Source organism: Homo sapiens, chromosome 8 (assembly GCF_000001405.40).
Source record: "Homo sapiens chromosome 8, GRCh38.p14 Primary Assembly".
In the NCBI taxonomy this organism is placed as follows: domain Eukaryota; kingdom Metazoa; phylum Chordata; class Mammalia; order Primates; family Hominidae; genus Homo; species Homo sapiens.
This window is the reverse complement of record NC_000008.11, coordinates 47,358,547-47,379,929: the sequence shown is the minus strand read 5'-3', so window position 1 is coordinate 47,379,929 and position 21,383 is coordinate 47,358,547. Positions and strand designations below refer to the sequence as shown.

Sequence of the window (21,383 nt, the reverse complement as noted above, 5' to 3'; positions counted from 1 at the left end):
AGGTGAGTGTTCTAGGATAACAAAAGCAATAAAGAAAAGCAAAAGCAGTAACCAGTGAGTGGACAGCCCTGAGCTGTGGGCCCAGGGGGTGCTCCTCACCCAGAAGCTCCACAAGGAGCAAAGGCAACAGGGATCAAGGGGACACAGAGCTCCGCAGGCACATGGGCTTGAATACACTCAGGTGAATAAAGTTAAACAGGCCTTGTCATAGGCCCCAGAAACCTTGAATATGCTTGTGTGCACTGTGCCCTCTACGAGGAGTCTGCAGTAAGTAGTCTTTCCTAAACTCCTTTAGCCACAATTTAACCAGTGTTTCACTGTACCTCATGGAGCTGAATTCTCTAAAATCTTATATTTTAATCATTTTAATGAAAAGCTCTTGCAAGTGAAGTTTTCCATGATTTCTTCTTTCACCCAATTCACCCAGGCTGGAGGGCAGTGATGCTATCTTGGCTCACTACAACCTCCGCCTCCCAGGTGTACCACAGCCTCCCGAGTAGCTGGAACTGCAGGTGTGCACCACCACACCTGGCTAATTTTTGTATTTTTTGTGGAGATGGGGTTTCATCATGCTGCCCAGGCTGGTCCCAAACTCCTGGACTCAAGCCATCCGCCCACTCCTAAAGTGCTAGGATTACAGGCGTGAGCCACCAAGCCCAGCCTCTTCTAACTTCTTATTATATGTTGAATATAGGCGAATAATCTCATGACAGCCCACAGGCATTCCTGTGGAAAGCCATTATTTTGGACTCTGAGGTAGTGCAGTTCTGCTTCCCGGCTGGGCTTCCTTCCCTCTGGCTACATGTAGGCTGCTCTGCTCGCTGGCCCCACTCCTAGGGTGCCGGATACTGCCCTAACAGCCTTTTCTGGCTGATGCCAAAGCCACGAGCCCCTTCCAGTTTGCCTTGGGTTTAGGGGCCAGATAACAGCAAGACTCAATGTGGACACTAGGAGGACTATAAAGATGAATAAAATATAGGTTCTGCTCTTTAGAGATTTACATCTGGCTACTTGTTCACAATTAAGCTGAGCCACTGAGAGCTCAAAACACTCAACTGTAAAGCAAATCTACTAGCAATTATTTCAGAGTCCCAGGGCCCCCTTCAAGATCCAAGGTTAGCTCCAAAGGCACCGGCTGGACTTTTGGCAAGTGCCACCTTGCCATCTTGCCATCTTAGGTGTACATAATGATCCTTCTTTGAAATAATCAAACTTGAGCAAAATAATCCTCATGAGATTACTTTGGGGTGAAAGAAGACAAATGAGGTAAACTGACACAAGATTAAATGAATTATATGCAGTTGTTCACAGTCACACAAGTTAACAGAAAAATCTCAGGAACCACCACTATCCACACAGTATCTTATACACAATGTACCAGGCTCTGTCTAGAAAATAATGGAAGCCAGAAGAATAAGAGAGTAAAATCTATATGTATGTAGATAACATTTAACTTTGATAGCTGCAATTACAAAGAAAGGCAAAATGAATTCTCTTTAAAGAACAAATTTGTCCTATGTATTTTTCCATAACCATGACATTCAACAAGTGTGATTTCCCAAGGACTTTAGTATTAAGGAATTTGAAAGGTGTCATGTTTCATAATGCTTGTTTCATCATTATTTCAATAGTGAAAAGATAGTCTTTAATATACTGTTGGGAATTTTATTGGCCACAATGAGCTAAAACAATATTATAGACATAAGTCATCTCTGAAAATAATTACTCTTTGATATTCATGCAAGAACATGAACTATGGGAAAAAGTGCCAGGTACTCTCAGTCCCTAAGAAAAACTAGAAATGTCAAAGGTAGTGCTGGAAACCCCACTCTTGGGAAGACACTTGGTTTAAGTTATGAATTCAAACAAAACAATGTTTATCTTGGTGTAACTTTACCCATAACTTTAAGTACTATAAAGTTATCCTGGGCTTGATTTATAGAATCATATAAGTGTTTCTTAAATGAAGATAAGATACTGCTGAATAAAAATAATCAAGGCACTAAAAGGACATTTTGTAATATAAGTACAACTAGCAGAACATGTTGTGTTTCTGAAATATATGCTACTAGAGATTCTTATTATGGAGAGCTTGGGAATGAATTAGCAGGCTGAGTTGCTCCAACCTGTTCAGGTGACTGGCCCTTGACGCGGCCACTTGGGAACTGAGTTCTTGGAATATTCTGATAGAAATGTTTGCATGCTTGAAACCTTGACCACTCTGTCTACACAGTCTGTGCAAACAACATACTTTATGGTGAAACCTGCTGTTTCCTCCTGAGGGACTGCAGTTTCAGTAGCTGTGGTCAGTCACACAGGCCCTGTGAATCTACAAAACTGAATCAGAATAAAAATCCTCAACTGTTAGGACCAAGTGACAATATTTGCACATAATGAACTGCCATAATTCATTGCTAGAGGAACTAAGTGTGTCCTGTGCAACTCCCATGGAACTGGACACTTGGAGGCTTGTGCCTGGTCTCCTCTAGACTGCTCCCAACACATCTTTCCCACTTGCTTCCTTTGCTGTAATAAACTGCAGTCATGAGTATACCTACTTCTAAGTCCTAGGACTCCTTCTAGCAAAGCACTGAACTTGGAGATAATCTTAGGGACCCCAAACACACAAAGTTTATCGGATTGTATTAATTTTATCACATTTCCTATCATTTCAGTACAGTGAGATGTAAAAACCAGTCTATACAACCCTGGTGGTAATCAGGTATAGCTAAATACATTAAAAATAGTAACTTAAAGGACTTAAAAGAAATACCAGTCCCCAGAGATGGAAGCCATTTAGGGTTAAATGAATGTGGCTGTGGCTAGAAAGCAAATCACCATCCAGAACAGGGGTCAGCAAGCTTTTCTATAAAGGACTATATGGTAAATATTTTAGGTTTTGTGGGCCATGCAGTGTCTGTCACAAATACCCAACCTTGCCACTGTAATGCGACGGCAGCCAGAGATAACACATGAACTAGTGAGTGTGGTTGTACTCCAATAAAACTTTATTTATGGAGACAGGTGATAGGCCAGATTTGGCCTGTAAGCTATAGTTTGCCAACCCCAATCCAGAACAAATGCACTTCAATAAAAATGATGTTTCTCAATTTCTTTACTAGGTTAAAAAAAATTTTTTTTTTTAAGGAAAATCTCAAGATGTTTTTCCTCATCACTCAATGTACCTTGATATGCTACAAAACTCTAAAATTCAGATGACCTACACTACAAGTATAGTGATTTTGAAAATTCAACTTACTATTTATTGGAACCTACTATGACCTTAGTACAACATCAAATGTTCTGAAGAGACATTGATGTATGGGATCCTGCCACTGGCACTGGGATATTCCAGACTGGTTAATGTTGCCCTGTATGGGTTTTCTAATGCTTCACAACAAATCACCACAAACTTAGCAACTTAAAACACGACCCATTTATCAGCTCACAGCTCTGTTCAAACTTTATCTGGGTAAACAGAAGGCTGGGCATGACATGACCGGGTTCTATATACAGGGCTTCCCAAGGCCAAAAGCAAGGTCCTGGCTGGGGTCCCTTGTCATCTGGAGCTCAGGATCCTCTTCCAATCACACCTGCTTGGGGTGTGATTCAGTTCCTTCCACACTGGGGTCCCTGTTTCCTTGCAAGCAATTGAGGCTGCTCTCAACTTCAAAAGGCTGCTCACATTACTTGGCACGTGATCTCATCCATGTTTAAAGCTAGCCAGAAATAAATAATCTTTTTGCTCTTCAATTCCTGCTCAGTTCCTGTAACTGGCTCTTACAACAAAAAGGTTTAATTTACCTAGATTCAGTGTTGCTCAGAGACCTCAAAGTGTGTCTAACACAATCAAAGTCCCTAAAAAGGCACAGTGAGAGATGATTTTGAAATGATTTTTTTCTTAGAAATAATTCTATCCTAAGGTCATGTAAAATGATGGATTTCCTGGGATTAATAACAAACTTCCTGGGAACACTGTCTCAGCATTAACATAATCTTAAGCATTCAGGTAATGTAGAACTTTGAATTAAGTCAAACTTAAAAAGCTTTTCTATTGTGCTAGATTCTTAATAATGCTTCTAAGAGCCCCAAATGTATTCAAATTCCTTTCTTCAACATCTACAACTTACTGATTTAATGACAACTGTATTAAAAGAAACTGAACAAAACAAGACATTTCTGGGCACAGTGGTGCGCACCTGTAGTCTCAGCTACTCAGGGAGATCCCCTGAGCCCAGGAATTCGAGGCCAGCCTATGCAACACAGCCAGACACTGCCTCTTTAAAAAAATTTTTCTAGTAGCTTGAGAACATGGAACAATTAAACCTATTTCTTTGAAGGCCGTGCTTTAGAAAACAATTGTTATTTTTGTTTTCTTAATAGCTATTAACAGCCGGCGCAGTGGCTCATGCCTGTAATGCCAGCACTTTGGGAGGCCGAGGCGGGCAGATCATGAGGTCAGGAGTTCGAGACCAGCTTGGCCAACATAGTGAAACCCCGTCTCTACTAAAAATACAAAAATTAGCTGGGCACGGTGGTGTGCGCCTGTAATTCCAGCTACTTGGAAGGTTGAAGCAGGAGAACTGCTTGAAGCTGGGAGGTGGAGGTTGTGGTGAGCCACGATTGAACCACTGCACTCCAGCCTGGGCAACAGAGTGCGACTCTGGCTCAAAAAAAAAAAAAAAAAAAAAAAAAAGCCTATTAACTCTTAACTCAATCTATTCCCCACTGCCCCTCAAAAGAATAAAACTTTTAAACTAGACAAAGCAAAGTAAGAAAATCTTATCCCTTGAAAACTGTCCATCAACCTTGGCTACACATCTCTCTGGCCTTGTCTGTTATAATTAAATGTCTGGGGTTTTTTGGGGGAAGAGGTGGACCAAGTCTTGCTCTGTTGCCCAGGCTGGAGTGCAGTGGTGCGATCTCGGCTCACTGCAACCTCCACTGCCCGGGTTCAAGTGATCTCCTGCCTCAGCCTCCTGAGTAGCTGGGACTACAGGTCTCCGCCACCACACTTGGCTAATTTTTTATTTTTAGTAGAAACAGGGTTTCACCATGTTGGCCAGGCTGGTCTCAAACTTCCTAACTTCAAGTGATCTGCCCATCTTGGCCTCTCAAAGTGCTGGGATTACAGGCATGAGACACAATGCCCCACCTAAACGTGTGTTTTAAAATCACATTCTTGAAACAGAAGGCTTTGTCTCCTTGATTAAATTAGGTATAACTGAAAGCCAAGCTGTCCATAACAAATTAGAAGATTAAAACTTAGCTAAAAATGAAGAAAACATCTAAAACTAAATTCATGAAGAGCCCTGGGATGGAGACAAACAGGAAGATATTCTCTTCTGACAGACATGAAGTAAACCAAAAGTCCACCTGACTGGATATTTAGACTTAAAACTACATATGCAAGACAAAATAATTTAGCCTAAATAATTTGAAAATATAACCAAAATGGGACAATTTATATTTCTAGGCAATAAAGTTTAATTACTTTTGAATAGATACAGTCTTTATTTTACAAGTTTAAATGAGTAACTCAGGATATAAAGCAAATAATTTCTTTTTCCCTAAGAGACAGGGTCTCACTATGTTGCCCAGGCTGGTCTCGAACTCCTCGGCTCAAGTGATCCTTCTATCTCAGCCTCCCAAAGTGTTAGGATTACAGGCATGAGCCACCATGCCTGGCCAGCAAAAAAAGTTTTAATGGAACTGCTTACTATTATCCTGTTTTAACTTCTAGAGAAATGTCAGGTTTATCTATTTATTTTCTTCTAAAATCCCTTTTGATAGACTTTCTCCAAATCTGTCCCTAATCCTAGCTTTTAAATTTTCCAGATGAATAAGAGAAAAAAAGACGTCTCAGTAGAAACCATCACCACACCTAGAATGAATAAAACAAACGAACCTAAAACAGCACACACCAACAGGTCAAAAACAGCTCAACTTTCTTTACAAGAACAAATAAAACAGAAACACATGCCTACCAGGGCTGACTGTATGTAGCACTTTAAAAAGTAAACCTCAGGGGTAAGTACTTACCACAACTTATTTCTCCTAGGCCTGTGCCCTTGTATATTTATTAATAACTGAAAATCATTACCATTCACATTTGATTTATCTTTTTAATTTGGAATTTTAAAAAATTGATTTTAAGCCAGAAAACTGCATTTCAACACAATCAAATATTAATGTGAGTTCTACAGAAGTTTTAAATAATAGCAGTTTGGGCCTACCACTAACACCCTCCTTGATTTGCAAAGACGATGGATGACTTAATCTACTGAAAATCACCGAAGCAATATGGCTAGAGCATATACTTCACACCCACATAATGAAAAGCACTGACTTTTATACCTACGTAACAAAACTGCATGTTCTGCACATGTACCCCAGAACTTAAAGTATAATAACAAAAATAAAAATTAAAAAAAAAAGAAAAAAAATCCCACCTAAACTACTGCCACATTTTAAACCTTGAAATTTCAAGTACTTTGAATGCACATCTCCCTCAAATTGCCAAACACCACACAAAGTACTAATGTGTACCAACCATATGCCCAATTTTCTCCACACTATAAGTAAAACTTTGCTTGGATCAGAAATGTTTAATATACCCTAAATAAGAGTGACACAATGATAGTCTCTAATTCTTTTGAAATAAAAATTGGCAAGTTAGGAAATTAGTCTATGGAATTTTTAACAAATGTGATTTTTTTAAATTTATGCTTTTCAATTAGGAAATAGGAGACTCCTATCTGAAATACTACTTCTCTGGTGAACTGAAGATTTTTAATAATTTTATACTATCATTCCAGGAATACATTCCACAGTAGTGTACTGAATATTTTCAGGTGTATCTCCAATTTCCAGTTAGATCACAAGGTTCATAATTAAGAAATACATTCTTGGAGATCCTAATCCTAGCCTTATCATCTCTTCCTTTTCATTGCCCTCACGACTAGCACAGTACCTAACCCCTGCTAAGAATTTCAGGCATAGTGTTCTGTTAGGGGTGTAACCTGGTTTTGCAAAGTCTCTGAGCCTTACTGTCTCCAACTTCAGAGAAAGAATAATAAATACCTATCAGGTACAATGTTCATTATTTGGGTAATGGGTACACTAGAAGCCCAATCACCATTAGTATGCAATATACCCATGTAACAAACATGCACATGTACCCTATGAATCTAAAAATTTAAAAAGTTGTAAAAGAATAATACCTATTCCACAAAATCATCATGAGGATTAAATGAAAGACATTATAAAATTATTATATTATTATTATTATTATCATTATTTTTGAGACGGAGTCTCGCTCTGTCACCCAGGCTGGAGTGCAGTGGCACAATCTAGGCTCATTGCAACTTCCCCCTCCCAGGTTCAAGCGATTCTCCTGCCTCAGCTTCCCAAGTAGCTGGGATTACAGGCATGCACCACCACACCTGGCTAATTTTTTGTATTTTTAGTAGAGATGGGGTTTCACCATGTTGGTCAGGCTGGTCTCGAACTCCTCACCTCAGGTGATCCGCCCACCTCAGACTCCCAAAGTTAAAATTCTTAAGGACAGGGATAGTAGCTTGTCTCCCTAATGCCTAGCACCGGCTATGCAAAGATAAGCCTTCCTATCGTTACTCACCCATCAAACACTAATTACATGTTTACTATGAGCCTGACAATGTCCTAGGCTGGGGACAAACGATAAATAAAACATTTTTCTTGACCTCAGAAACTCAAAGTACAGAAGAAGGATCAGAAAGGCAAATACATCAAAAACATCAGAGTCACAGGTGCTGTAATAGATCAGGGACATGGGTGGACTTGAGTTTCTAGGCATGGAAGTTGATGGGGAAGTCTTCCCAGAAGAGGTGACTTGAAAATGAGTAAATGTTTCATAGGCTGGGGCCAAGACTGGGAAGAGAAGGGTGCTCCTGCAAAGCAATAGCAGGAGAACAGAGATGGAGGAATGAACACTTGAATAGTCCACCATGTTTGGAGAGTCACCATGTAGTCAATACGGCAGAACCAGGGGACAAATAATATGAGCGGTTAGGCTGAAAGGAGATTAACACATCACAGAAAGCTCCAAGCAGAAGATTTCTGTCTTACCTGGTGGAATCTAGCCAGTTACTTCCTATTAATTTTTTGAAGCAATGCACTATGTGACAGAGGCTTTATTTCATGACCTCTTTTGATTCTTACTACAGCCCTATGAGATAGAAATTATTATACCCATTTTACAGAGAAGTAAACCATTACACTGAATGTGTCTCCCCCCAAGATTCCTATGTTGAAATCTAATCCAAAACGTGGAGGTGAGGCCTTTGGGAGGTGAGTAGGTCATGAGAGTGGAGCTTTATAAGCAGAGTTCAAAGAGCTAGCTTGTTCTTTCTGCCATGTGAGCATATGAGAAGTTGGCAGACTGCAACCTGGAAAAGGGCCCTCACCAGAACCAGACCATGCTGGCACCCTGAGCTCTGACTTCCAGCCCCTAAAACTGAGAAATTTCTGTTGTTTATAAGCCACCTAAGAAGCTGAGACTCAAAAAGGTTAAGTAAGTTGCTCCAGGCACAGTTAGTGACCAGTGGGCTCCAACCTGGCTGTCTGAGCCCAGGTTGTCCATGCTCTTAATCCCTGTGATCTACATAAGGGTTTTCAATTTTTTTTCAAACTTCTTTGGACCACAACACACATTTCACCTGGAAAGACAGAAGTGTCAGTAATTGAAACAACAGTTTCATGTAGTGGCATCTATACTTTAATGGTTTTCTTTTTTTTTTCCTTAAAAAAAAAAAAAAAAACCTGCTTGTGTTATCCAAGGAGGCACAAGTGATCAACAGTCCCACTGCTGCTTGTAAGCCATGTAGGCTAGACAGTCTGCCTTTGGATTCTACCTTGTGTAGGTCCTTGGTGACCAGCACAGTGGAGGTCAGAGGCAGAAGCTGGACTGCAGTTAGCATGGGGGGATGGGAGAGGAGACACTAGAGACAGCAAACCTAGACAACTATCTCAACAGGGTTTGTTAAGCAGGAGCAGGAAATGTGGCAGGGGCTACAGGGAACTGTGGTTGAAAAAGGTGAGGTTATTTTTTTAACTTAAAATTTTTTTTTCATATTCAGTGGCCAGTTACTAGATTTTTAAAAATCTACTATGCGAGAGAATATAAAATAAATAAATGTTGGCCAGGCACGGTGGCTCATGCCTGTAATCACAGCACTTTGGGAGGCTGAGGTGGGTGGATCCCAAGGTCAGGAGTTTGAGACCAGCCTTTCACCAACATGGTGAAACCCTGTCTCTATTAAAGATAAAAAAAAAATTAGCCAGACATGATGGCGCGCACCTGTAATCCCTGATGCTCGGGAGGCTGAGGCAGGAGAATCGCTTGAACCCAGGAGGCAGAGGTTGCAGTGAGCCCAGATCGCACCATTGCATTCCAGCCTGGGCGACAGCGCAAAACTCCGTCTCAAAAAAAAAAAAAAAAAAAAAAAAATCTTGACCTCTTCACTTACTGAAAGCTTCTGCTTATCTGATCTCTAAATAACAACAGCAGAAAAATATTTTTGTGTGTGATATACTGTTTCTTATGTGTTGGGAGCCCTAGAGACAACTGCTCTATATGAATAGCAACACAGAGAAAATCAACATTGCGCCTCCTATGCAGTTGATACAGAAGGCAACTAAAGAGGTCCCTTCTGCCTTCTAAGGAGACAGATTTCTTTCTCCATAAGATGTTACACACAGGAAAAGACACTCCAGAGTCCACGACCACATTTGTAATCACCACTCACTTCATAGGTTAATTACTGCTGACCTATCGTTGTGCCTACAAGACCATCTTTTTCGGAGACAATCATGAAGCCAGGTCCTGAAAAGAAAGATGAAACTAACAGAAGAGACTTACAGTGCAGAAAATAAAGAAAATGGAAGATGAAAAAAAAAAAAGAGATTTCTTTACATTGTGTTAAAGGAAAAGACTCTCCCTTAAAATGGGGGGTAGGGAACCCTTAAAAAACAAAAAAAAATCCAGACAAACCAAGAAAGTCACCATTGGAAATTAATGAATTTAATAGGACTATAAGGGAAAACAGCACTGGACCATAAGATCTTTTTTAGACTGTGGTTAAAATATTTCCTTTCCGCATGCATTTTGTTCTCCAATGATCAGGCTCTTAAATATATCTCTAGAAAAGAAGTCCTTTCTACAAAGTATCCTCTTCATAACTGCCATTCAGAACACCAACTGCCTATTATGACACAGCAACCAAGAAACATTTGGGCTTGTATTGGGGACAATCAACTTGTGACTTCCTGCTAGACTTTCTCAATTCACATGATGATGAAATGGCTAGTGTTGCAATGCACTTATGGCTTTAGATAAAAACATAGGCACCCAAGACAGAAGTGGCCAAAGAGGGCAGTACCCAGCAGGAAGTTGTTCCTACAAAGGAAATTGCAGTTTCTAAGATGAAGAGGAAGTCAAGAGGGAGAATTAAGTGTCTCAAGGGCTTGAGAAAATATTGAAGAAACTACTTGTGGTCTCAAATACAGTTAAAATACTAAGTAGTCCACGCTGTCATTAATTATAAATTCAAAACTTTAACAATGCAATTTGGGGTAAAGCTAGTCCACAAAAGGTAAATCATGTCTGTGTAACCTTTGTTGTTAGAAGCTGCCTCTCTTACTCCTTGCAGAAACCTTTTCTGAAAAAATACCTGATAATGATACCAACTGAAAGGGACAGAGGGGAAGAACACTCTCACTCACCTGTTCCTGCACAATGTGAGAATCTTAGTCACATTTCTCTTCATTTTATGATATCCTGCAATGTCCTCTTCATATACAAACCCACTCCCCAATAAGCTTCTAGTTTCTATGTAATAAATGGCTACCTTCTAAAGTTTGTTCGTTCTCACGTGCCTATGAAACACATACTGGACACAGAGACACATTACCAGTCATTTATCTGGCATCACAGCAGTTTACTACAACTTTCATAAGTTCTAACAAACCTCTGATAGAAGCTGTTTCCAGCCCTTTCATCTCTAGACATTTCAACCATATGGGGACTTCGTATCTCACCTATTTATTTCCCTTTTCAGTTTTTAAAAATCGTGCCCAGAATTCTTTGATGCTAATAAACATTCACAGAACAGACCTTTTCCATCACTAAACAGGAAACTGAATATTGCATGTATGTTTTACACTCAATAGGCTGTATAAAGTTATTAGTGATATTAACAAGGAGACTATTGATCATTTTTCATAAAAGATCACACATGATCTTCTTTTCCATAGGTTAGTCATATGTTAACCACTTCTGCGCAGAAAAGACATGCGCATTGAAGGCAAGCATGAAAAACATGCCCATACATGGCAATTTTCTTGTCTCATCAAGACCACAGCATGTTTACCAAGATGGCTGGCAAGATGACACCAGGATCCAAGGATCTGCTTTTTAATTCTAATTACTGAAATCTTATCTTAGTTTTCAGTATTTCACAGAAAGCCATCTGCACTCAGCAGTGGGATCTCCCTAGCAAAATCCTTTTTTTTTTTTTTTTTTTTTTTTTTTTTTTTTTTTTTTTTGACTTCTCAACTCCTTCTGACTCTGTTAACAACCACTGACATATGCTATGGACTGAATGTTGTGTCCTCCCCAAAACTTGTACATTGAAACTAATCACCAATGTGGTGGTATGAGAAGGTGGGACTTTTGGGAGGTAATCAGGTTAAGGGGGTGGAACTCTCAGGAATGGGATTAGTGCCCTTATTAAAAAGGTCCCAGAGAGCTGCCTTGTCCCTTCCACCATGTGAGGTTACACCAAAAAGATGGCTACCTATGAACCAGGAAGCTGCCCTCACCAGACACCAAATCTGCTGACACCCTGACCTTGGACTTCCCAGCCTCCAGAACTGTGAGAAATGCATTTCCATTGTTTATACGCCACTCGATCTGTGGTACTTTGGTACAGCAGCCCCAGTGGACTAGGATAACAAGCATCGTCCTACAATTTCTAATTTGGCTTTGAATCACTGTTCCTATAATCTCCAGCTTGCCTTCTTTCCTCCAGCTGCTTATTTTCTCCAACTAGCATTTCACAATTCCTTCCTACGTTCGTTCACTGAATACATTCAGGCTGAAAACCAAGTATCTGCTACAATGCTGCTGCTACAACACTGAGCAAGACTTGGGCGGGTTATGGACACACTCCACTAAGTGCTATGAAAGGAGTGGAGTGGGCTGGCCATGGGAAGGGTGGCAATGTGGGCTAAGTGGTAGAATTTCTTACCAACCATTTAACTTCTTTCTAGTCCCATATTCCCACTGTCTTAAATTTGTGAGTTTATATAATGGTCTATACTACCTGTAACTTTCAACTGTTGTTCAAAAACTTTGTTAGTTTCCTATTGCTGTGTAACAAATTACCGCAAACTTAGTGGCTTAAAGCAACACTCATTTATTAGCTCCCAGCTCCAGAAGTCAGAAGTCTGGCCATGTTTTAACTGGGTCCCCTGCTCAGAGTGTCACAAAGATGAAATCAAGGTGGTGGTGGAGCTTAGTTCTCCTCTGGGAGCTCTGGAGAAAAATCCAATTCCAAGCTCATTCTTTGTACTAGCAGAATTCAGCTCCTGCAGTGATAGGACTGAGGTCCCTGTTTCCTTGTTGGCTATCAACTGGGGTTTGCTCTGGGCTCCTGGATACTGCTGCATTCCTTGCCAGGTAGTCCTCTCCATCTCCAAGCCAGCAACAGCACATAAACCCCTCTCCTGCTTCGAATCTCTTACCTCCTCAGCTTCTGACCTCTAAATACAGGTTTAAAGGGCTCTGGCAAATGGGTCAAGCCCACTGACAATAAATTCCCTTCTCGAAGTCAACTGTGCCATATATTAAACATAATCACAGGAGTATAAGCCACCCTAGTCACACAGTCCCATGGATTATGCAATATATACTGGTAGTGGGTCTACTGGAGGTCATTTAGAATTCTACCTACCACAATTTACAAGGAAAAAACAAAAACTTGGCATCAATAAAGAATTTTATGGCACTAATTAGAAATGCAGTTCTGAGATTCTTTAGTTTTCAATCCTGAGAGCAGAATAACCAAAAAAAATCATAGGTAACTCCCAAATCTATTTCTCCAACCCTTTTAGCCTTAATCTATACATCTTTGCAAATACCCAAGACGCACTTAAACTTGATTATTTCATTCAACTTTACCTGATAAAACTGACTTAATATCCTCCCCCTTTCTCAGATTTCTACTATACCACCAGGCGCCAGCCTGCCAAGATCTCCACTTTCGAGGGATTATCATTTACTCTATGTTATCTTTAACATCAAACAGAAACTAATTCAACAACCAATCTTAACAACTTGCCCTTCCTCGCCACTCTGAAACACACTTCGTACCTAGAGCAGAATCATTAGAAACACTGGTCTCCTGCACTGACCTCCCTTCTCTTTCCTGTTCTTTCTGTCTGTGCACAGCCTTGCCCTATCCTACACATATCTCCCAAGAAAGTCCCTAACACTGTGCTCCATGCTCTCCTCTTCAGGAACCACAGCCCCCACAATCTAATCACAGCTATCCAAGCTCCTCATCCCAGCACTTAAGGCTAACAGTGTCCCCTGGACCCCAAAGTCATACTCCAAACCCCGTCATCCAATGCCACACCACACCCTCAGTCCCTGGGACGCCTCACCTTCTGACCCCACCTTCAGCCTCTGTTCAGCTGCTCTCTCAGGCAGACACACCCAAGCAGGGAACGGTCAGCTCCAAAAAGACGTCTCATCACTCTCATCTGCAACTTACTTGCTGTCCTCTGACCTATACCACCTGGTTTTATCTTTACCTTGCTTTGGCTTCATGTCTTTTTTTTAATAGGTACATTTTACCTTTCCCACTGTATCAGGAACTCTGTGTGTTTGTGTGTGTGTGTGTGTGTGTGCTTGTGCATGTATGTGTAAACATACATATTTTTTCTTATCCCATAGCATTTATGCAGCACACACAAGAAATTAAATGCATTTTGCTTTTCTTTTTTCTCACAATCCAATCTGCACTTCCTGTCCTGACCTTTCACCTATTTTTATAATCTCTTTATCTTTACTTGCCTGGAAGAAGTCTTTAGAATAGAGGTTAATAAAATAGGTCATCCACCCTTGCCTCTGCATGAATGAATTAACAGCATAAATAACAGCCCAGAGGCATAGAAAAGTACATTTATTTCATGTTTCAATTAAATAAAATTTAAAACTCTTAAAACAGGAGTAAACAAAAAATTCTAGGAAAAAGGTCAAGAAGCTTTAATGCAGGAAAAGGAACAGAACTTGGAAAATGTGCATTTTCACATGCAAAAGATGGGAAACAATCTGAAAGTCCGCCTAGAGAGGACAGCTAAACAGATGAGGGTACTGCCATGCAATGCAAGGCTGCACACCATGGGGGTTAAAAAAGAAACCTTCCCATGTTGCTCGGAAAGACCCGAGGCATGCTAAGATGTGCATGGGTCTCCTGAGCAGTTGTGGAACTTGCTGCCATGTGTCTATAAAGGGCAGGCAACATATCTTCAAAAACATTTATTTAAGTCTCTGGAAGAACACAATAATGATGTTTGCCGATAGGGAAAGGTAAATGGGGACAGGTGTGAGGAGGCTTCCATCCTTTCTCATGCCACTTGGACCACGTGAATGTGGAAGGTGGCCAGGGAGACCCTCTCTGCAAGTCCAGGAATAGGGCGGATTCACCCACAGATTGTTATAAAGTTCAATGTCCAGGAAGGAGCTTGATGCCTCCAAAGGAAAAACACATGTATGTCTTTGCCTGTTCTAGGTTCTCTGGCAGAAGGAAACAAGCCATGCAGGTCTTACTCTCCAAAATACTTGCAGACTCCTTTTGCTACAGATGCTGTGCTGTACATGCACAGAGAAGCACAAGTTGTAATGGCCACAGGCTTGCTGTGGGGAAGACGGAGGGCAGCAGCAGGGTTCTGCCAGGGCACCCACACATGACGGGGCATAAAGGCCCATCCATCTGCTACCTGCCTCCATGCATGCAGGGAAAGTCAGGAAAATCACCTGAGACTCCACAGGATTTACAGATTCAAGACAAGGTCTGATTACAAACTCAGAAAAAAGGTAATGATTACAGGCAAATCTGCTTTTTAACAGACTTTTTTTTGGATTATCAGGCTGGCATTATCAGAAAATGCCACCGAAAAGACTTCCTGAAAAACATAGTATTTAAAAACCTCAAATCATAGTAAGATTTGCTGCAACTGAAAGAAACCAAATGAACATTGGATATATTCCAAATGAGAATTCTATTTGTGAACTGAAGAAAAACTGGGGCCTGCCAAACTGATAATTAAACAACTGCGCACCCCGAACCAACTAGTGGAATGACTCCCTCCTTCTGGGGTAGGTTCGTCACACCTTACATACTGAAAAACAAAACTTGCATTGAAGCTCTGCATCAAAAACACTTCTTGGAACAAGAGCCAGGGTTCTTTTGATTACTTTTGACCCAAATTAGGCCAACACGATGGCAGTAACTCTCCAGGTGAACTTCAGCTGGGAGCTACCAGGAGGCTCCAGCTGCAGAATACAGGTCAAGGACACAGAAGGGACCAAAGGAACATCGACTCATAGTAACCCTGGCTTGCTGTCCAAGAAGGCAGAAGCCCTGTGAGAGTCTAGAAGAGGCTGAGGTCAGTTTCAAGCCTATACAGGATTAAATGTGACCAGTTACTGTTCTAGGCAAAATGTACAAAATACTTTCATCAAGAACCAAACGTTTTATTTCCTATTTAGCTGAAGAATTAATACTTTTACAGAAGCAATGAGTGAGCACAAAAAGCTTATTTTCCCATTCTCCATGTTCTCTCCTGAAACAATGATCCAAGTGTATTTAGAACAAAGAATCCTACCTTCAAATGAGTGTAGACCCTCTACAGGGGTATCTACCACGTTCCTTCATGTCCCCAAAATAGCTCATAGACCTTGCTAGAAGAGAGTGATGTGATTTTCCTTACCTACCACCAAAATGAAAGAGAGAGAGACAGAGAGAGAAAAAAAAAAAAAACCTACAGAACAGAAAAACCACCTAGATACCACTCTGGTAGCTGGCCACCACACCCTCCTAACTAGAACGTGAGCTCAGGGGTCCCCAAACTGAACTGTAGTATAGAGCACAGTTCAGTTCTATGGATGGCAAAATCAGAAAGGGAGTATTTTTTTTAAAATATCATTTCGATAACATAAATAACTGTTCACTACGGTTCCAAACATAAGCATTGTGGAAAGTAGCTATCCAACAAGCTTCCTCCCCAGAGATCACTGCCAGAGCCTGGGGCGGGAAGAAGGGAAACTAGGAGAGTGAAGAGTCTGAAATACTCTTTGACCTAATTTTTTTTTTTTTTTTTTAAAAAAGGTTGGGCGTGGTAGCTCACGCCTGTAATCTCAGGCTGAGGTGGGTGGATCTAGAGGTCAGGAGATCGAGACCATTCTGGCTAACACAGTGAAACCCCATCTCTACTAAAAATACAAAAAAATTAGCCGGGAGTAGCGGCGGGCGCCTGTAGTCCCAGCTACTTGGGAGGCTGAGGCAGGAGAATGGTGTGAACCCGGGAGGCACAGCTTGCAGCAAGCTGAGATTGCACCACTGCACTCCAGCCTGGGTGACAGAGCAAGACTCTGTCTCAAAAAAAAAAAAAAAAAAAAAAAAGAGAGATAAAGAAAAAAACAGCTTTAATTTCTATACCTTTTAATTCCCTCAGAGATGCTTTTGCTACATGAACTCGTCTAGGGGACTCTGTGGAGCTTACTGTAATGTGAGCCCTGAGAAACTTACTGCCCTGTCAATTTACCAGGTAGAGACAACACATCTGTGCTGACCATCTGCAGGCGGAATAGGATTTGGTGAGAACAGGTATGTTGTCTAATGGGCGATGTTGGCCAGAAAAAAGAACACTGGCTGGGCGTGGTAGCTCACGCCTGTAATCCCAGCACTTTGAGAAGCCAAAGCGGGTGAATCACTTGAAGTTAGGAGTTCAAGACCAGCATGGCCAACATGGTGAAACTCTGTTTCTACTAAAAATACAAAAAAAATTAGCCGGGCATGGTGGCACATGCCTGTAGTCCCAGCTACTCGGGAGGCTGAAGCAGAATTGCTTGAACCTGGGAGGTGGAGGTTGCAGTAAGCTGAGATTGTGCCACTGCACTCCAGCCTGGGTGACAGAGTCAGACTCCGTCTCGAAAAACAAAACAAAACAAACCAACAAAAAACACCATATATGAGTGTTCATTCCTTCTCTTTACATTTTTTTGTTTTTTCTCTTTACACTTTTGTGTGCCTGATCTATTTCATTTAAAACAAAGACAGAGGAAGACACAATCAATATACATTCTAAAACTGGCAGAGATCTGGCATACCAATGTGTAGTGATGTGTGGTCAAAGAGCAAGGGGAGGAAATGCTGGAGATGACACTGGGTCCGGGCCCTTCATACCAGGGGAGATGTGTTCAAGGCAGCCTTCCGAGCCACAGGATGCATAGGAGGACTCATTAGTCCTGACTCCCAGTAGTAAGCAATAGCACTTAGGGAGTTTTCAACTCTGCGGCTAATCACAATCATTACAGGTCTTTAAAAGCGATACAATGGATTCTGTCAGCACTATAAAAGGCAGTCACACTCTCAGCAGAATCTCTCAGGCTGTGGCACCATAGGCCACGTCTAGGACAGCACAGCTGGCCTCCACTGAGCTGACCTCAAATGAGTGTACCACACTTGCATGCAAATACACAGGTGGCACACCCACTGCTGCAGCACCCAGTTCCACACCTGCCAAGCTTCGGCACCTGTGATCACACTTCTGGCCACCAGTACGCTGTGCTGGGCTCACTGTGGATACTTCGAGGTCTACCTCTGACTATCAAGGGCTGAAAAAAATGTGTAGCACGTGGAGCCTCTGGTCTGGACAATTATACCAAAAGGCAGTCTGGGAGCACATGTGCTGTCCCTCACAACTAAGGGTCCCTGCATCCCTAACTTTCATCATGAAGGGCCTGTTCTCTCAAACCATATGGAGCCAACTAAAATAAAGCCTGGCCTCAGGCTGGTGCTCCTGTCCTTGCCTGCCCTCATCTGTCTTACATTCCTCATCTCCCCTAAACTGTAGTTCTCCGACCTGCAAGCCTGCTGCTCAGCATGGCCCTCTGAGATCTCAGTGACTCTCAAACCAGCGAATCCACCTATAGAGCTGTTAAAACAAGGAGGGTGGAGCCCCACCCCAGAGTTTGATTCAGAGGTGGCAGAAGCGTCTGAGAATGTGCATTGCTGACAAGTTCCCAGCTGCTGTAGTCAGTGGTTGGAGGAGCATCCTTTGAGAAACACAGCTCTAACTAGCACTCATATGTGAATATTTGGTTTTGGTTCCTACCTGCCTAACCCAGCCTCATCCAACCTAAGCTCATTAGCTCTGGGACTGTGGACTGCCCAATTCACAAGTGGGATGCCCATCCCCACCCAGGCCCTTCCTGGGAGCCACAGTGTGCCACAGATCCACAAACCAGCAGCACTGAGTGCTCATCCTGTCTCCTCCTAACCAATGGTCAGATGGATGGAAGGCTCAACTGAATTCTTATAAAAATTAATGATTTATTCCCATGATAAATTCATGCACTGCCTTGTGGCTGACAATGCAGTTTTCCTCCTCCTGATGCTCCATATGAACATCACCACAAGTTCTAGAAGTAGGTATTACCATTTCCAATTTACAGATGATAAAACTGAGGTCAGAGGTACCTGAGATCACAGCACTGGGACTTTTGCTACCTTCTTTTAAGTAACTGTGGTCATGTAATCCATTTATCAGTTGAACATTTTTTACACTTTTATCAGCATCACTTATTTATTTTTAATATTAAAAAATCATGAGCATTTTTTAAAAGTGTGAAATAATATGTGAATGCTCACCATACACTCCAGAAGTACTGGTTGAATCAAAGTCTTATCCTACCATGAACACAAACAGCACCAAAGCAGTGTCTGTGGTCCAGCACGTCCAAGAAGAAGGCTGAAAACACCACCAGATACCTTCAAGCACTGGACACAAACTGGTGACCAGTAGACAAATTTTTGCCCCACAGACTTTTTCACTTCTGTTTTTTGTTTTGTTTTGTTTTTCATTTGAACTAGCTGCCAACATGTAGAAAGTGGGAGATTTCACATACTTATCTGGACAACAGCCAGCTCTCTTAAAACTGAGAAGACCTGACAACGCTGGAATCACATCCTTTCAAGGCACACGTAGCTGGCTGGAGTTTACCAACAGCCCCGGTGCTCAGCCATGGCAGCCTCTCCAGTCAAACAGAGCCCTCTAAGCCTACGGGTTTTCACCACCTGCCTGGTCCACAGGCAGTCATAGGCTCCTGCCCTGGAGCTTATTCTGTAATATAGTTAAAATAGATCAATGACAAACAACTTGAGCAAAATTAATTTCTCCTGGCTTACCAAATTAAAACAGAAGAATGATACAGTTTGGCTACTTAGGGACTACCGAGAAATAGTAGAAAATTCACTAACCACACAGCAATTAGACGAAGAGCCTGATTCTTGTTGCCTCTCTCCAGGGAAAGGCAGTCCCTCTATTTCTTTTTTTTTTTTTTTTTTTTTTTTTTTGAGATGGAGTCTCATTCTGTTGTTGCCCAGGCTGGAGCACAGTGGCGCGATCTCCGCTCACTGCAACCTCCGCCTCCCGGGTTCATGCCATTGTCCTGCCTCAGCCTCCCGAGTAGCTGGGACTACAGGCGCCCGCCACCACGCCCAGCTAATTTTTTGTATTTTTAGTAGAGATGGGCTTTCATCATGTTAGCCAGGATGGTCTCAATCTCCTGACCTTGTGATCCGCCCGCCTCGGCCTCCCAAAGCACTGGGATTACAGGCGTGAGCCACTGCACCCAGCCCAGTCCCTCTATTTCAATGAGAGAGAGTGATAAATTGTTCCAGGCTCTTTCAAACACTTTGACATACATGCATACATATGTAGAAAATACAGCATGGAAGCCAATACTTATCACAGTATCATAGCTTGTTCTTACGAAGTATCCCATTTTTTAAGAGAAAGAGGCTGGCAGCACATTCCAAAATGAAAACCACTAATTATGATATATTCTTGAGTCAAAAAACAATCATAACACACAGAAACAAGGACTATACTTTCTTCAGAGACAGGATGCTCTCTACCCGCTATAGAATAATCACAAACTCTATAGGGCACAATGCTGAGTGATCAAAATCTCATTTAACATCTACCTGTAGTTAATTGATTTTCTAGAAATATGGGAAAAAAGAATTTAAACAAATTCATCCTCTACCCATGCATGTCACTGCAGAAAAGGTGACTCATAAAATCACTATCTTGCATTCATCAACTCTTTTTTCCTTTTTGCCCCTTTGAGGACAGCCCAGAAGAAAGGCTGTTCCAGGTTCCTTTGCATGCTCTGACACACAAAGGGGACCCAGGACTCCTAAACAAACAGGGCCCTTGACCCATGGTGCTTTCCAAAAAAGAGAAGTTCGAAGTTTGAAACTTTCATCGAATGTGCCAAGGTGGATATTATAAAACAACACTATACAAAATTTGTTAAAAAAAAACTTTTTTTTTTTTTTTTGAGACGGAGTCTCGCTCTGTCGCCCAGGCCGGACTGCGGACTGCAGTGGCGCAATCTCGGCTCACTGCAAGCTCCGCTTCCCGGGTTCACGCCATTCTCCTGCCTCAGCCTCCCGAGTAGCTGGGACTACAGGCGCCCGTAAAAAAAAACTTTTTTTTTTAACAATTTTTTTAACTGGTGGGAGGGAATCAGATCTCTGTGCTCAATCCTATAAACAGATGTCTCTGAAATCCTAGTCATGCTAGAGTTAGTGTCTTAACATGAAAACAAACTGTACAAAAATGTTAACTCCAATTGCCTCCACCTAGAGACTACCAGAAATTTATGTGATCACAGGTTATTTTATTAATAGAGAGAAAAATCAATTGAGATTTATTTGTGCTGCAATGGGTGGGAGGAGTATGTCTGTATATATGTATCCTACGTCCTAACTTCCTAAATGTAAATACCAATGGGCAGGACTAAAGCCCATAAAAGCAGAAAATGGACATAAAATGTTTAAAATTCTGCTACTGAAGTAATATAGGGATCAGATAATGCAATTGAACTGCAAAACAAATTTTAATGAGACAATCCAAGCCAATGCCATGCCATGTTTAGAAATAGCAACAGGGAGAAATGACATGGCTTGAGTTCATCATTTCTTCTTCACAAGATTGTTGTGGGAAAGCTGTAGAGAGATCTTAGCCTCAAACCTTAATCTTAA

The 21,383-nt window shown here is 41.5% G+C and overlaps 1 protein-coding gene and 1 long non-coding RNA gene across 55 annotated transcripts in view, besides 1 other annotated feature; one reads left to right on the top strand and one right to left on the bottom strand.

The window, feature by feature from the left end:
- The window catches only part of SPIDR (scaffold protein involved in DNA repair), a 475,429-nt gene that overhangs the window by 356,377 nt on the left and 97,669 nt on the right, over positions 1–21,383 (bottom strand). The window lies entirely within an intron of this gene.
- The window catches only part of LOC107986940 (uncharacterized), a 30,305-nt gene that overhangs the window by 5,678 nt on the left and 3,244 nt on the right, over positions 1–21,383 (top strand). The window contains exon 2 of the long non-coding RNA XR_001745888.3: positions 16,876–16,934. This is a non-coding gene — a long non-coding RNA (uncharacterized LOC107986940). The remainder of the gene's footprint in view (positions 1–16,875; positions 16,935–21,383) is intronic.
- Positions 17,694–17,763: a silencer, noted in NCBI's record as "silent region_19170". NCBI's record gives its function as "represses an Ori minimal core promoter by ATAC-STARR-seq in GM12878 lymphoblastoid cells {active_cell/tissue: GM12878}" and the evidence as "EXISTENCE:reporter gene assay evidence [ECO:0000049][PMID:35858748]".